At 51.5% G+C, this 15613-nt stretch overlaps 1 protein-coding gene and 1 pseudogene across 5 annotated transcripts in view, besides 5 other annotated features; one reads left to right on the forward strand and one right to left on the reverse strand.

The window, feature by feature from the left end:
- Positions 367–599: a silencer, noted in NCBI's record as "fragment chr1:12122803-12123035 (GRCh37/hg19 assembly coordinates)". NCBI's record gives its function as "represses an EF-1alpha promoter that drives an FKBP-Casp9 reporter gene in an ReSE screen in HepG2 liver carcinoma cells {active_cell/tissue: HepG2}" and the evidence as "EXISTENCE:reporter gene assay evidence [ECO:0000049][PMID:32094911]".
- TNFRSF8 (TNF receptor superfamily member 8) overlaps positions 924–15613 on the forward strand; it is an 80905-nt gene continuing 66215 nt past the window's right edge. For all 5 annotated transcript variants that reach the window (NM_001243.5, XM_011542441.4, XM_047434793.1 and 2 more), the window contains exon 1: positions 924–1282. In NM_001243.5, the coding sequence (NP_001234.3) occupies positions 1220–1282 (63 nt within the window). In that variant the 5' untranslated portion in view covers positions 924–1219. The remainder of the gene's footprint in view (positions 1283–15613) is intronic.
- Positions 1187–1316: a silencer, noted in NCBI's record as "silent region_282". NCBI's record gives its function as "represses an Ori minimal core promoter by ATAC-STARR-seq in GM12878 lymphoblastoid cells {active_cell/tissue: GM12878}" and the evidence as "EXISTENCE:reporter gene assay evidence [ECO:0000049][PMID:35858748]".
- Positions 5517–5566: a silencer, noted in NCBI's record as "silent region_283". NCBI's record gives its function as "represses an Ori minimal core promoter by ATAC-STARR-seq in GM12878 lymphoblastoid cells {active_cell/tissue: GM12878}" and the evidence as "EXISTENCE:reporter gene assay evidence [ECO:0000049][PMID:35858748]".
- Positions 5717–5816: an enhancer, noted in NCBI's record as "active region_198". NCBI's record gives its function as "activates an Ori minimal core promoter by ATAC-STARR-seq in GM12878 lymphoblastoid cells {active_cell/tissue: GM12878}" and the evidence as "EXISTENCE:reporter gene assay evidence [ECO:0000049][PMID:35858748]".
- Positions 5837–5886: an enhancer, noted in NCBI's record as "active region_199". NCBI's record gives its function as "activates an Ori minimal core promoter by ATAC-STARR-seq in GM12878 lymphoblastoid cells {active_cell/tissue: GM12878}" and the evidence as "EXISTENCE:reporter gene assay evidence [ECO:0000049][PMID:35858748]".
- RNU6-777P (RNA, U6 small nuclear 777, pseudogene) lies at positions 15502–15605 on the reverse strand (annotated as a pseudogene).

Raw genomic sequence — 15613 nt, forward strand, 5'->3', positions numbered from 1 at the left:
CATCCATCCATCCATCCATCCACTTATGCATCCATCCATCCACTTATGCATCCATCCATCCATCCATCCATCCATCCATCCATCCATCCACCTATGCATCCATCCATCCATCCATCCATCCATCCATCCATCCATCCATCCATCCACTTATGCATCCATCCATCCATCCATCCATCCATCCATCCACCTATGCATCCATCCATCCATCCATCTATGCATCCATCCATCCACCCATCCACCCACCCATTTACCCACTCACCTGCTGCTCACCCATCCATCCATCCATCCATCCATCCACTTATGCATCCATCCATCCATCCATCCATCCATCCACTTATGCATCCATCCATCCATCCATCCATCCATCCATCCATCCATCCATCCACCTATGCATCCATCCATCCATCCATCCATCCATCCATCCATCCATCCATCCACTTATGCATCCATCCATCCATCCATCCATCCATCCATCCATCCATCCATCCACCTATGCATCCATCCATCCATCCATCCATCCACCAATTTATCATCCACTCACTGATTCATTTTACAGCAAATGCTTATGAATGGGGATGGGTGGGTGATGGTTGCTTTTTCTGCAGTCTCCCTAGGCCAGTTGTCCCTTCCAAAGAATCTCAAGGGCATGGGAGAAGGTCCTGGCTGATCGTGTCAGGGACAGGAAACTACTCACATTTCACCGTTTCTTGGGGCAGGAGTGGAGGTGGGGGCATTGGAACCCCCTTGGGGCCTCCTAATATCCTGTGAGTCCCCACCTCCAGGGCCAGAAGCTGCCTGCCTCCGCTCCCCGCAGCCCAGGTGCGGCGGGCAGCACACTCCCTAGAGCCAGGACCACTAGTTCCGTCAAATCCGGGGCGGGCCATTCAAACAGCTAAGGGAGGCGTCTCCTAGTGTGCCTTTTCCTGAGTCATCTCTGCACGTGTTTGCCCCCTTTTTTCTTCGCTGCTTGTAGCTAAGTGTTCCTGGAACCAATTTGATACGGGAGAACTAAGGCTGAAACCTCGGAGGAACAACCACTTTTGAAGTGACTTCGCGGCGTGCGTTGGGTGCGGACTAGGTGGCCGCGGCGGGAGTGTGCTGGAGCCTGAAGTCCACGCGCGCGGCTGAGAACCGCCGGGACCGCACGTGGGCGCCGCGCGCTTCCCCCGCTTCCCAGGTGGGCGCCGGCCGCCAGGCCACCTCACGTCCGGCCCCGGGGATGCGCGTCCTCCTCGCCGCGCTGGGACTGCTGTTCCTGGGGGCGCTACGAGCCTTCCCACAGGTAAGCGGGTGACGGGCGCCTGGGGAGGTGCCGGCGGTCCAGAGCCCGGACAGTGTGGGGTGCGTGGGACGCAAGGGAGGACACTCCTCACCCCGTTCCCTGCCCAGCTGGAGTGAGGGGGCGCGGGTGACAAGCAGGAACACCGGAATATGCTAGCACCCACAGGTGGGAGGCTGGCTGAAGGGCTAGTGGTGGGGGGCGCCTCCTTCTCACCCCGCGATGGCTGGGACTGATTCATTCATTCAGTGTGAATTGGACTGAGAGCACTGCCATACGCGGGAGGCGCTCTTTAGCCCGCCTACCTGCGGGCCCGTCGGGGTCCTGGGCAGATCAGGTGAGGCCGTGGGAGTAGTGGGCAGGCCAGATGGGGCCTCCCTTAGCCATGGGAGGTTGGTCGTCCGCGCTCTACCCTGTTGTGTGCGCGGTCCCGTTTGCCCCCTTCCTAAGCTGGCCACTGGCTGGAGGGTCAAGGAAAGGAGGGAGAGTTGGCTGTGGGTGAGAGTGGGGTGAGGGTGCAGGACCACCGGGATTAGCTTCCCCAATCCGCGTCCGGCAAAGCAACGCTGTGGATTGAATTCGCTGGAGCACGTGGTGGGCATTTGCCCCTGGAAGAAGGTCAGTGGTGGGGCTGAAGTCTATGGTGGGTTGCCTCAGAATTGAGTTTGGGGACTGCTTTAGGAAAACTGAGCACTTACCAGTGGCCAGCGCCAAATTAATCACTGTGGGGAGAATGCAAAGTAACCAGGCGTGTTTCACGGAGCCCAGGGGCTGCTGGAGAGAGAGGCCCTCAGCTGACCCAGGACCCCGGTGGACCCCTGCATAGAACCATAGTAGGTGCGAGTGGATGCCTGCTGAATGATACAGAGGGAAAGGAAGGAGCAGGCTGTTAGTCCAGCGGTGGGTCACGGTGGGGGAGAGGGAAGACCCAGTTCCCCTTTAATCCTACAGGAAGAGAGGACTCCATGCTATGGATCAATTCTAGTCATCTGAACCTTAGGCAGTGGGAGGAGAGTGGCAGAGTGGGCTTTAGGCAGGAGGGAGGAACTATGCAGCAAAGGAGGAACTATGCCCTCTTCCATTTCCAATGGGCAATGTGAGGTATTCCCCCTTTCCCCCCAAGAGGGCAGAGGGGACAAAGCCCTGGCTAGAGACACCCTGTCCCAGCTCTGCAAGCCCTCACCTGGGGGAAGGTAAGAGTTTGGAGTGCCAAGGTCTTGGGGAGATGAAGGGAAGGAAGAGATGTGAGAGGTGCTTGGGGGGCTTTGCTGGTTTGGTTTGGCAGCTGAAGCTCATGTGCTTCCTTTCTGTAGAGTGAAGCCCCCTCCACTTTTTTTAATGTTAGAGACAGGGTCTCACTCTGTTGTCCAGGCTGGAGTGCGATCATAACTCACTACAGCCTGAACTCTCATACCAAACCTTTTTTTTTTTTTTTTTTTTTTGAGACTGAGTCTCACTCTTGTTGCCCATGCTGGAGTGCAATGCTCGATCTCGGCTCACTGCAACCTCTGCCTCCCGGATTCAAGTGATTCTCCTGCCTCAGCCTCCCAGGTAGCTGGGATTACAGGCATGTGCCACCACACCCGGCTAATTTTTGTATTTTTAGTAAAGATGAGGTTTCACCATGTTGGTCAGTCTGGTCTCGAACTCCTGACCTCAAGTGATCCTTCCGTCTCGGCCTCCCAAAGTGCTAGGGTTACAGGCATGAGCCACCACACCCAGCCTCCCATACCCTTTTTAAAATAAAAATACTATATATTTAATTGCACAAGGAATATATAAATATATTCTCAAAGCAAAACTGTAAACGCTACAGATAAAGCCAAGTCTTTTGACACCGCCTCATCCTGATCCCTTCAAAGATATAACCACCATAATTGATTTGGTGTGTTTCCTTTGCAGACCTTTATAAATGCATGTCCATATTTATATTGTTTTAATAGACATATATATAGTTTTCCATATACTATACCCTACAGTACATATGGTTCTTCATTTGGCTTTATAATGTCTATGAGGCATCTTGGTGAGCTTTCCATGCTGAAACTTACAGATCCTCTGCCTATCTTTTAAAATGCTATGTGATCTTTTGCCAAATGGGATGTTTCATAGTTTATTTATGTCCTGGATGGATGGGTGCTAAGGTTGCCACCATTGTTCTTTCTTTCTTTCTTTGTTCTCTACTACAGTGCACAGCCCTATATGGATGCTTTTGGAAATAAATGTCTGTGATTCTTTCCTAGACAAGAGACTGAGAAGAGAATACTGAGGTTGCAGGGCGAAAATGCATTCAAATTAAAAGACACCACCGAACTGCCTTCCAGGGTGGCTGGACAATTTACCCTCCCGCTAGCAGTGCAAGAGAGTAGTAACTTTCCCACATCCTAACCGACATTTGATCTTATCAGCATTTTAATTTTTCTCAATGTGATTAGTGAAAAGGGTTATATCCTTGTTGCCTTAATTTGCATTTCTCGCCTACCGGGGAAGCTGAGCATCTCTCTGGGCTCAGGCACTAGGTCATTTCTTGGCAGGAGTCAGGGAGTCCTTGGGGAAGGGACTACCTGCCCAACACAGTACTCCTTTTTGCCCCTCAAGCCTTCTCCCACTTCTGTTTTTTCCAGTAAAGGTTCGGGAAGCTCGTTATTTTAAAAAAAAAATCCCAAATTAGGGCTTGAATTTCCTTGAGTTTAAAATTTTTTTTTTTTTTTTTGAGATGAAGTCTCCCTCAGCTGCCCAGGCTGGAGTGCAGTGGCACGATCTTGGCTCACTGCAACCACCCTCTCCCAGGTTCAAGTGATTCTACCGTCTCAGCCTCCCTAGTAGCTTGGATTACAGGCACTTGCCATCATGCCTGGCTAATTTTTGTATTTTAGTAGAGATGGGGTTTCATAATGTTGGCCAGGCTGGTCTTGAACTCCTGACCTCAGGAGATCCATCCACCTCGGCATCCCAAAGTGCTGGGATTACAGGCGTGAGCCACCGCCCCCGGCCTAAATTTTTTTTTATTTTTTGGGACAGTCTCACTTTGTCTCCCAGGCTGGAGTGCAGTGGCGCAATCTCAGCTCACTGCAACCTCTGCCTCCTGGGTTCAAGTGATTCTCCTGCCTCAGCCTCCTGAATAGCTGGGATTATAGGTGCCTGCCACCTCACCCAGCTAATTTTTGTATTTTTAGTAGAGATGGGGTTTCGTCATGTTGGTCAGGCTGGTCTCGAGCTCCTGGCCTCAAGTGATCCTCCCACCTCGGCATCCCAAAGTGCTGGGATTACAGGCGTGAGCCACCGTGCCCATCCTGAAGTTCTTTTTTCATCTCTATTTGATTTTTCCCAAGACGCCATCATTTTTCGCCTGGTATTCTGAGGCAGGAATGCTTTCTTGCTAGCTGGCACCATCTGAGAGTTGGCCTCTGATGCTTCGTATCACTGTCTTGTCCAATTGTGTTTTTTTGTAATATGACCCAGGATTAACTGGTGCATATCTGCAGAGAAAAATTTATTCCCCCATAGCTCCATCCTTTTCATCCAGGCACCATGTGGTGGGGTTGCGGGGCGGGGGAAGCCCCAGCTTTCCTGTGAACTCTGTAGACTTAGAAATTCCCCAACATCATGTTCCTTGCCAGTGCTAAGGCTAAACAAGCCTTCCTCCCACATCCATGTACCCCCAATTCCAGCCAGATGTAAGCATCTTTGCTCTGGGTTAGTGTGCAGGCTGGGACCAGGAAGGTTCTCATGAAAGTATCTTAGCTGGGGCCGGGCGCTGTGGCTCACACCTGTAATCCCAGCACTTTGGGAGGCCAAGACAGGCAGATTACTTGAGGCCAGGAGTTCAAGACCAGCCTGGTCAACGTGGTGAGACCCTGTCTCTACTAAAAATACAAAAATTAGCTGGGCATGGTGGCAGGCGCCTGTAATCCCAGCTACTCAGGAGGCTGAGGCAGGAGAATCGCTTGAAACCAGAAGGCGGAGGTTGCAGTGAGCCAGCACTCCCGCCTGGGTGGCAGTGAGACTGTATTTAAAAAAAAAAAGAGGAATTTTAGCTGGGGTGATAGAAAAGCTCTATGTGTGACTCCTCCATCTAGCAATTTAACTTTAAAAGCTTAGCTAGTTACTCCATACAGTGTAGTGCTAATCGTGGAATTTCAGGGAGTGGCAAGAGGGCAGGAGAGATTTTCTGGTTTTGTTTTGCAAAAGGGACATTTCCAGGGCTGCTCAAATCCTGCAGGGAGGCAAGGACGGCGGGGGGGCGGGGGGGGGACCTGGAGAGGAGGGGACCCTGAAGGAGTGGAAGGAGGGTCTGGCTTGTCTTAAAGCCATCCCTTCCCAGGGCGGCACTAGTGCTCTGGGGTCAGGGAGTCGTGTTACTCAGCTTGAGAGCAGTGAGTGCCGGAAGGAGGGGCGTTTACTGTAAGTTTCTGCTTCTGCTCCCACTCATATCTGACTTAGACTCGTTTCTTGAGCAGATTGTGATTCATTCTAAGGTTTTTATACTCCCTCATCACCCTTCTTCACATCAGGACAATCATCAGAAGGAAAATGGGGCTGAAGGATGACTGTGTCTGGCCCGGGGGAGTCCTGGAGGCTTGAGGGTCCTTGGCAATGACAGTAGATCAGCCCAGCCTGGGCCAGCTTGTCCAGCCGGTGCACTGACCCTGGGTGTGGCCCATCTGGGATCACAGTCCTCATTTCACAGACAAGGATTCAGTGCAGAGGCCCAGAGGTAGGGGAGAGTCTTGCCTACAGTTCCAGGACTGGTCGGGGTAGAGCCCACCACAGACTAGACACGCAGAATGTCAAAAAAAGGCAGCTCTCGGCCATACCAGTTCTCCACTTCTCTCTCTCCCCTCCCAGGTCCACCCAGGGGATACTGGGGTGGGGGTGGGGGACCTTCTTCCGGTATCTATGGTTGAAAACCACTGGGCATTCTCGTGGCCTTGCTGGTGGGGAGGGACTTTTTATACATGGCTCAGTCTAGTTACTCCCTGAATGCCTAAGTCTTTTGGTGACATGCAAGTATTCATGCATGCATGCATCCAGCAGATCTGAAATGAGCAGCTGTTCTGGGTCAGGCATGGCTCCAGGGACTTGCATTCAGCCTCTGCCTGTATGCCCCCCGTGACAGGATGCTTGCTCCTTGCTGAGGCAGCTCACACCATCCTGGGTTAGCTTTGGCATTTAGATGATCTTCATGATATGCTGAAATCTAGTTTCTTTTTCTTTCTTTTTTTTTTTTTGAGATGGAGTCTCTCTCTGTCACCCAGGCTGGAGTGTAGTGGTGCGATCTCGGCTCACTGCAACCTCCGCCTCCCGGGTTCAAGCAATTCTCCTGCCTCAGCCTCCCAAGTAGCTGGGACTACAGGTGCATGCCACCATGCCTGGCTAATTTTTTGTATTTTTAGTAGAGATGGGGTTTCACCATGCTGGCCAGGCTAGTCTCTAACTCCTGACCTCGTGATCCACCCGCCTCGGCCTTTCAAAGTGCTGGGATTACAGGCATGAGCCACTGCACCCGGCCTTTTTTTTTTTTTTTTTTTTTTTTTTTGATGGAGTTTCGCTCTTGTTGCCCAGGCTGGAGTGCAATGGCGCTGTCTCAGCTCACTGCAACCTCCATTTCCCAGGTTCAAGTGATTCTCCTGCCTCAGCCTCCCAAGTAGCTGGGATTACAGGTGTGTGCCACCACGCCTGGCTAATTTTTGTATTTTTATTAGAGACGGGATTTCACCATGTTAGCCGGGCTGGTCTCAAACTCCTGACCTCAGACGAGCCCCCCCGCCTCAGCCTCCCAAAGTGCTGGGAATACAGGGGTGAGCCACCACGCCTGGCCTGAAATCTAGTTTTGAAAATGAGTCACCTCCCTGTTCTTCAGAAGCGCCTCTGGCAATGTGAAGACTGTGACTTTGGGTCCCCGGAGTCTCTCAGCCAGTCACACACCTGTCCTCCAACATTTATTCCTCACGTAGCGTGAGCTCAAGGCTCCTCATCTGCCTGTTCTCTTCAATTCATTCATTCCACAAACACTTATTGAGCACCTTCTGCATGCCAGGAAGCACTCCGGGTGCTGCGAGTTCATCCATGCACCGCATAGCAGGGTCTCTGCCCCACGGAACTGACATTCCACAGGGGTGACAGTCAACAGACTGCTGCTAGTTGCAATGAGAGGATTAGAATCCTGTAGTGTGAGAGAGACGGGCGGCTCCCTAAGATGGGGAAAACAGGACTTGCAGACGGTAACATACACACGGAATGAAAAGAGGGAGGCAGCCAGTGGGAGATTAGCAGAAAAGCATCCAGGCCCAGGGGGTAAAAGCCCCAAGAGGCTAGAGGAACAGGAAGGAGGCCGGGGTGGCTGGAGGGAAGTGAGTGGAGAGGGGTGGTTAGGAGAAGGTGGCAGGAAAGGTGGTAGATCGTGCAGACCTTTGTGGACTGTGGTGAGGTTTTTGGCAGGGGAGCAATACTGCATGATAGATTTAAAGTTCCTTCTGTCTGCTGTGGGGGGCTGGGGGATTGGGGGGAGCAGGCAGGATGGGAGCAGGAAGCCAGGTCATTGCATTGATCCAGGGGAGGGGTGAGCAGAGGTGGGAATGTGCTTTTTCTTCTTTTCTTTTCTTTTTTTGAGACGGAGTCTTGCTCTGTTGCCCAGGCTGGAGTGCAGTGGTGTGATCTCGGCTCACTGCAAGCTTCGCCTCCCAGGTTCAAGCCATTCTCTCGCCTTAGCCTCCCGAGTAGCTGGGACTACAGGCGCCCGCCACCACGCCTGGCTAATTTTGTTTTTGTATTTTTAGTAGAGACAGGGTTTCACCGTGTCAGCCAGGATGGTCTGATCTCCTGACCTCGTGATCTGCCCGCCTATGTAGAGACAGGGTCTCACTATGTTGCCCAGTTTGGTCTCAAACTCCCAGGGCTCAGGTGATCCTCCTGCCTGCGCCTCCTATTGCTGGGATTACAGGCATGAGCCACTGTGCCCAGCTGGAATGTGCTTTCAAGCTAGAATCAACAGGACCTGTGGATGGGTCTGGTGGGAGCGCAGAGGGCAGGAGGGAAATCAGGGATCCTGTCCGTATTTGGGAGCTCAGAATCTGGCTGCATGGAGGTGTCATTTTGGGATGTGGGAAAAAACAAGCAAAGGATAGAACAGGGGTTTTGGAGAAAAGTTCTATTTTGCCCATGCTCAAGTACCAGTGGGGGTTGGGTGTTGAAATGTGGAGCTCTCTACAGAGTTCAAGCTGCTGATATGAATCTCTGGGTACCAGAGTCAACTGTAGAAGTCCTGGTGCCACCTGGGCCAAAGACCACTCCCCAGTAGACTCACCTTACTTCTATTAACCAAGCCCAAGACCCCCTTTTTTTGGCCCCCACATTATCTGTTCATTCGTTCCAACCCAAGCCTAGGCTCTTTTATTCAGCCTGGTTACAGTATATGCTAGTTTTCTTTTGCTGCTATAGCAAATTAGCACACATTTGGTGGCTTAGAACAACATGAAGGTATTGTCTTATAGCCCTGGTGGTCAAAAGTCTATGACAAGTCTGTAATCCCAGCACTTTGGAAGGCTGAGGTGGGCAGATAGTTGGGGCCAGGAGTTTGAGACCAGCCTGGCCAACATGGCGAAACCCTGTCTCTGCTAAAAATACAAAAATTAGCCAGGTGTGGCGGTGTGTGCCTGTAGTCCCAGCTACTCGCGAGGTTGAAGCACGAGAATTGCTTGAACCTGGGAGGCAGAGGTTGCATCAAGCTGAGATCGCAGCACTGCACTCCAGCCTGGGTGACAGAGCAAGATTCTGTCTCAAAAAAAGAAAAAAGTCTATGATAAGGCAGCAGAGCTATTTTTCTTCTGGATATGCTGTAGCAAAATGTTTCCTTGCTTTTTTCCAGTTTCTAGAAGCTGCCTGTGTTCCTTGGTCCCTGGCCCTGCATCACTCTGAACTCTCCTTCCATCCTCACATTTCCTCTCTCTCTTTTTTTTTTGAGCTCGATCTCTCGGCTCACTGCAACCTCCACCTCCTGGGTTCAAGTGATTCTCCTGCCTCAGCCTCCCAAGTAGCTGGGACCACAAGCACCCGCCACCACGCCCGGCTAATTTTTGTATTTTTAGTACAGACAGGTTTCACCATGTTGGCCAGGCTGGCCTCGAACTCCTGGCCTCAAGTGATCCACCTGCCTTGGCCTCCCAAAGTGCTGGGATTACAAGCACGTGCCACCATGCCAGCTAATTTTTGTATTTTTAGTAGAGATGGGGTTTCACCATGTTGGCCAGGATGGTTTCGAACTCCTGACCTCAAGTGATCCACCCATTTTGGCCTCCCAGAGTGCTGGGACTATAGGCATGAGCCACCTTTGAGAGACAGTAGAGCATTTCGTTAAAGGTATGAACTTTTTTGTCAGCCTGTCAAGGTTATCCCTTGCTTCTGACACTAGATGGTGACTTGAGCAAGTTAAGTTACCTCTGTGTGCCTCGGTTTCCCCATCTATAAAATGGGCTAATAACAGTAGCTACCTTGTATTGTAGGGCTGGTGTAAGGATGACATGAGTTAATATGTGTCAAGTGCTGAGAGCAGCTTCTGGACACAGTGAGTGCTGTGCAAATAAAGGTGAGCCTTATTAGGTGCCTGTTGTATGTGGGGCATTATGGATACAGCCATGGAGATGAACCAGTTCCAGTCCTTGCCCTCGATGGGGGGCAGTGTGGGAAGGGGAATACAGAAGAGAGGGTGGCCAGTACTGCGTAGGGGACTGTCTGGGGCCTGCGGGAGTCCAGAGGAGCCCATCTTTACTTCTGCCTGGGTCAGTAGGGGAAGGAGCCTCCAGAGTTTGCAGTGATGAGGCTCTGCACCACAGATGGTGCCATTGTCCTTGCCAGCTTTGCCCAGGGCTCTGGAGGCAGCAGAAGGGGTCAGAGGTTAAACAGCACATCAGTGCTGGTGGTTGGGGCGAGCCTGGGGCCTGCTTTGGAAGCCCCACCCAGCAGGTTCCCCTTGGGTTCTTGGGTCCTCCAGGGGGCTAAGAACTCCTAGAGGCGTCGCCCACAGCTTCATTTCAGCCATCAACTTTCTTGACGGATTGCTGCCTGCCAGGTACGGTTCCTGCTCTCAGAGAGTGCGTGCACAGATAATGTGGCCTCCACACAGTTTACTGAAATGGTTCCAACCTGCTGAGACCAGGAAACTCCTAAACCCCACCTTCACCTTCCCAGCCTGGGCAGGCACCCTTCCCACTCTTGATTCGGGTGAGGGAGGCCAGGACGCAGCGGCCAGGCCAAGAGTTTCCTCTCTCTCCAAACGGTCTGGGGGGCATGTGCCCTGCCCCTTCCCCACACATAGTCTGGGAGAGGGAGGTGGGCAAGGAAACACACCAGGCTGGGCGCCAAGGCTCACGCCTGTATTCCCAGCATTCTGGGAGGCCAAGGCAGGAGGATCTCATGAGCCCAGGAGTTTGAGAACAGCCTGGGCAACAAAAAATTAGCCGGGCATGGTGGTACACACCTGTGGTCCCAGCTACTCAGGAGGCTGAGGTGAGAGGATCACGTGAGCCCAGGAGGTCAAGGCTGTAGTGAGCCGTGTTCATGATCGCAGGACTGCACTCCAGCCAGGGTGACCGCAAGGCCCTGTCTTAAAAACAAACAAACAGACAAACAAAAAGTAAATACACAAGCCCCTTCTGAGCAACTGGCCTGAGGCTGGCGCAGGAACCTAAGGCACCTCCAAGAGGATCAGAAAGTCGAATACTCCCAGGGAGCTGGGCCCCGCTTCCTTTTCCTTCAGGTCCACTATATCCATCTCTCTCTCTCTTTTCTTCCTTCCTTCCTTCCTTTCTTCTTCCTTCTTCTTTTCTTCTTCCTTCCTTCCCTCCCTCCCTCCTTCTCTTCTTTCTTTCTCCCTTTCCGTTCCTTTCCCTTTCGTTTTCCCTTTCCCTTTCCTTTTCCCTTTCCCTTTTTCTTTTTCTTTTTTTTTTTTCATTTTCTTGACAGAGTCTCACTCTGTCGCCCAGGCTGGAGTGCAGTGGTGAGATCGTGGCTCAATGCAACCTCTGCCTCCCGGGTTCAAACGATTCTCCTGCCTCAGGATCCCGAGTAGCTGGGATTACAGGCGCCCACCACCACGCCTGGCTAATTTTTATGTATTTTTACTAGAGATGGGGTTTCACCATGTTGGCCAAGCTGGTCTCAAACGCCTGACCTCAAATAATCTGCCTGCCTCGGCCTCCCAAAGTGCTGGGACTTCAGGTGGGAGCCACCGCACCCAGCCCACTGCATTTTTCTTTGTAGCTGCCATTGTCCCGTGGCGGCTGTTGCTGCCCGGGAACGTACTTCAGGGCTGGGTGGGTTTTACCTTGTCTGAGTTGTAGCTAAGGATGCAGCTCCAACACTTGCTTCGGCCCTGGAATCTTCAGGATCCCTGCAGTCTCAACAATTGGCTCATGGAGCCGGCACGGGATTGCTGGGAGGCAGGAGGGATTTCTTGGTGGGAAGTGAGGATCGACCAGTTGCTAAATTCGGACTCAAGGCGTGATCTTGCTAAAACGGACTCGCTCTCCTCCATCCTGTCCACCTCCCCACCACATTAATGACCCTGAAACCCTTTAATGCTTCCCTAGTGCCAAAGGCAACATGTCCCAAAGTCACCTTCTTTCTTTCTTTTTTTTTTTTTGAGACAGAATCTCACTCTGTCACCCAGGCTGGAGTGCACTGATGTGATCTTGGCTCACTGCAACCTCCGCCTCCCGGCTTCAAGAGATTCTGCTACCTCAGCCTCCTGAGTAGCTGGGATTACAGGCGTGCACCACTACGCTAGGCTAATTTTTGTAGTTTTAGTAGAGAGGGGGTTTCGCTGTATTGGCCAGGCTGTTTTCAAACTCCTGACCTCAAGTGATCCGCCCGCCTCGGCCTCCCAAAGTGCTGGGATTACAGGCATGAGCCACCAGGCCCGGCCTCAAACTCACTTTCTGGCAATGGCAGTTCTGAGAAAAAAAGGTTCTATGGCCAACGAAGTTTGAGAAACATTGCAGAGTTTTCTGACTAGCTCCCATACCCTTCCTTGGAGAATCAAAGAGTAAGTAACCACATCAAAGGTTCTGAGAAGCCCCGTGATCTAAAATGGAAACCTCTCGAATGGACTCCAGTGATTATTTGTGTTTGTTTGTTTGTTTATTTATTTATGAGACAGGGTCTCACTCTGTTGCCCAGGCTGGAGTGCAGTGTTGCAATCATAGCTCACTGTAACCTCGAATTCTTGGGCTCAAACAATCCTCCCACCTTAGTTCCTTGAGTAGCTGGGACTACAGGCACATGCCACCATGCCCAGCTAATTAAAAAAAAATTTTGTTAGGCCGGGCACAGTGGCTCATGCCTGTAATCCCAGCACTTTGGGAGGCCGAGGCAGGTGGATCACTTGAGGTTACGAGTTTGAGACATGGTGCAACCCAATCTCTACTAAAAATACAAAGCTTAGCCAGGTGTGGTGGCACATGCCTGTAATCCCAGCTACTCGGGAGGCTGAGGCAGGAGAATCGCTTGAACCTGGGAGGCAGAGGTTATAGTGAGCCGAGATTGCACCACTACACTCCAGCCTGGGCGACAGAGTGAGACTCTGCCAAAAAAAAAATTTTTTTTTTTTTTTAAAGAGACAGGGTCTTGCTATGTTGCCCAGGCTGGTCTTGAACTCCTGGGCTTAAGCAATCCTCCCACCTTGGCTTCCCAAAGAGCTGGGATTACGGGTGTGAACCGCTGCGCCTGTCCGTGTTCTGCCTATCATCTGTTACCATCCGGTAGCCCCAGCATTTGATGAAACGCTGTTTGGGAAATGACAGTGAAGAGCTTCCATACTCATCTCTTTTTCTGACTCCCTGACTCTCTCTTCTGCCTCCCTCTTGCATTTTTAAGTTCCCTTAAATTGCACTGGGCTCCCCTGGATAATCCAGAAGAATCTCCCATCTGAAAGTCAGCGGGTTCACAACCTCGATGCCATCTACCACCCTGATTCCCCTTTGCCATGTAAGGAGACGTATATGAGCACATATGTGAATATATCACCCTAGGTCCTGGGGACCCAGTGAGGATGGTATGATTCTTGCTAACTGACAGAGCAGGAGCGTCACCATCTTGGACAAGCATCGCCGTTTTAAATTCTCCTTGATTAAAAACCGCCTAAATCCAGCCCCAAAACATCAGCCTAACGGCTAACGTCAGCATGACCATAAACCACAAATGACACCTCCAACCAGAAACATTCCAACACCCCCATCCGACTGGAGACATGCCAGCCCTGAGATAACCTCCCCTCTGACCAGAGACATTCCCAGCATACAGTAAAACTCTCCTCCACACAGAAACATTCCTAGCCTGCGAAAAGCTCCCATCCCAGAACCCTTAAATACCCTTAGTCCATAAAAACAATGCTGCTGAACGAAATTGGCCAGAAGGCCTTCTTGGTTTTATTCTTTTTTTTTTCTTTTTCTTTTTTTTTTTTTTGAGATGGGGTTTCACTCATCTTGCCCAGGCTGGAGTGCAGTGGCGTGATCTCGGCTCACCACAACCTCTGCCTCCCGGGTTCAAGCGATTCTTCTGCCTCAGCCTCCCGAGTAGCTGGAATTACAGGCATAAGCCACCATGCCCGGCTAATTTTGTATTTTTAGTAGAGATGGGGTTTTACCATGTTGGTCAGGCTGGTCTCAAACTCCCGACCTCAGGTGATCCACTTGCCTTGGCCTCCCAAAGTGCTGGGATTACAAGCGTGAGCTACCGTGCCCGGCCTCAGTTTTATTCTCCAAAATAAACCTGTCTTTGGTAAGCCGCTTTTCATATTTTTTTCTTCTTTCTTCAACTCTTACACAAAAATCATTTCAAGGTGCTTGCCTGTCCCTGAGTTCCTTCCAGCCAGGGACTCCAGGCTCCACCCTCTATGCTGTTTCCGTGTCCACTGTCTTTGGGTTTTATCTCCAACCCTGGGGCCAGGCAGCATGGGGCCCTGCACACTCTTTCTCAGCTGTGCAGGAACTGGGGAAAACTCAACTCGGCACCTGCTTGCAGTGGGACAACTGTGAGAGGTGCTGCCTGTGGCCAGGGATGGAGCCTGTGGCCAGGGATGGGTGTGTTTAAAGAGGTGGAGGAGGAGGACTTTAGTTTCAGGTAGTCTCTTGGTCTGGAGCTCAAGTGAGCACTGAGTGTGGAGAGAGGGGTTCAGAGTCCTACAGTTAGGAGGTGACTACTGAGTTCGGCGTGTGGTGGTATAGTCTAGTGGTTGCTTAGGAGCGAGGGTGTGGCGGTAGACGCATAGTCCCCTAAAACGTCCATACATTCTACATTGTTAATTTGGGACAGGGTCTCACCCTGTCACCCAGGCTGGAGTGCAGTGGCCCAACCACGGCTGAAGAGATTCTCCCATCTCAGCCTCCCGAGTCGCTGGGACTACAGGTGCATTCCACCACAACCAGCTAATTTTTGTATCTTTTGTAGAGACGGGTTTTTCTCCTTTGCCGTGTTGCCCGGGCTGGTCTCAAACTCCTGAGCTCAAGTGATCCTCCTGCCTCAGCCTCCCAAAGAGCTGGGATTATAAGTGCGAGCCACTTCGCCTGGCCAAATGTCCACACATTCTAATCCTTGAAACCTGATACTATGGATCTTGAGACAGGAAGATGATCCTGGATTATCAGGGCGGGCCCAATCTAATCACAGGAGTCCTTAAAAGCAGAGAACCCTTCCTGGCTGTGTTAGAGAGAGATGATAGAGGCAAAGAGAGAGATGTGATGTGAGAAGGACTCAGCCCACCATTGCCGGCTTTGCAGATGGAGTAAGGGGGCCATGAGCCAAAGGATGCCACAGTCCCTAGAAGCAGGGAACAGCCCTTAGTTGGCTGTCAGCAAAGAAACAAGACCTCAGTCCTACAACCACAAGGAACTGAATTCTGCCAACAACCTTAGTGAGCAGGGAAACCAACAGTCCCTTAAAGCTTCCGCTAGGCACACAGCACATGACCTGGATGGGGGTGATCAGAGAGGGCTTCCCAGAGGAAGTGGCACTCATGAGTGAGGTCTCAAGGATGAATGGGGGTACACTGGATTTAGGGACCAGTGCAGGCAGGGAAACAGCACGCACAGGCTGCTGCAGGGAGTGGGGTGCCCGTGGGGTGCCAGTGGCAAAAAGAGGCTGGTAGGAGAGAGTACCAGGGGCTTCACAGGCAGGCAAGGAGGGCAGGGCTTCTTGGGCCACTGTTAAGACTTTGGTTTTTTTTTTTTTTAAATATGGACCGTTTCATGAATTTCCGTATCATCCTTATGCAGGGGCCATGCTAATTTCTGTATTGCTCCAATTTTAGTATATGTGCTATCGAAGCGAACACAAGACTTT

Source organism: Homo sapiens, chromosome 1, assembly GCF_000001405.40.
Source record: "Homo sapiens chromosome 1, GRCh38.p14 Primary Assembly".
NCBI classification, from domain to species: domain Eukaryota; kingdom Metazoa; phylum Chordata; class Mammalia; order Primates; family Hominidae; genus Homo; species Homo sapiens.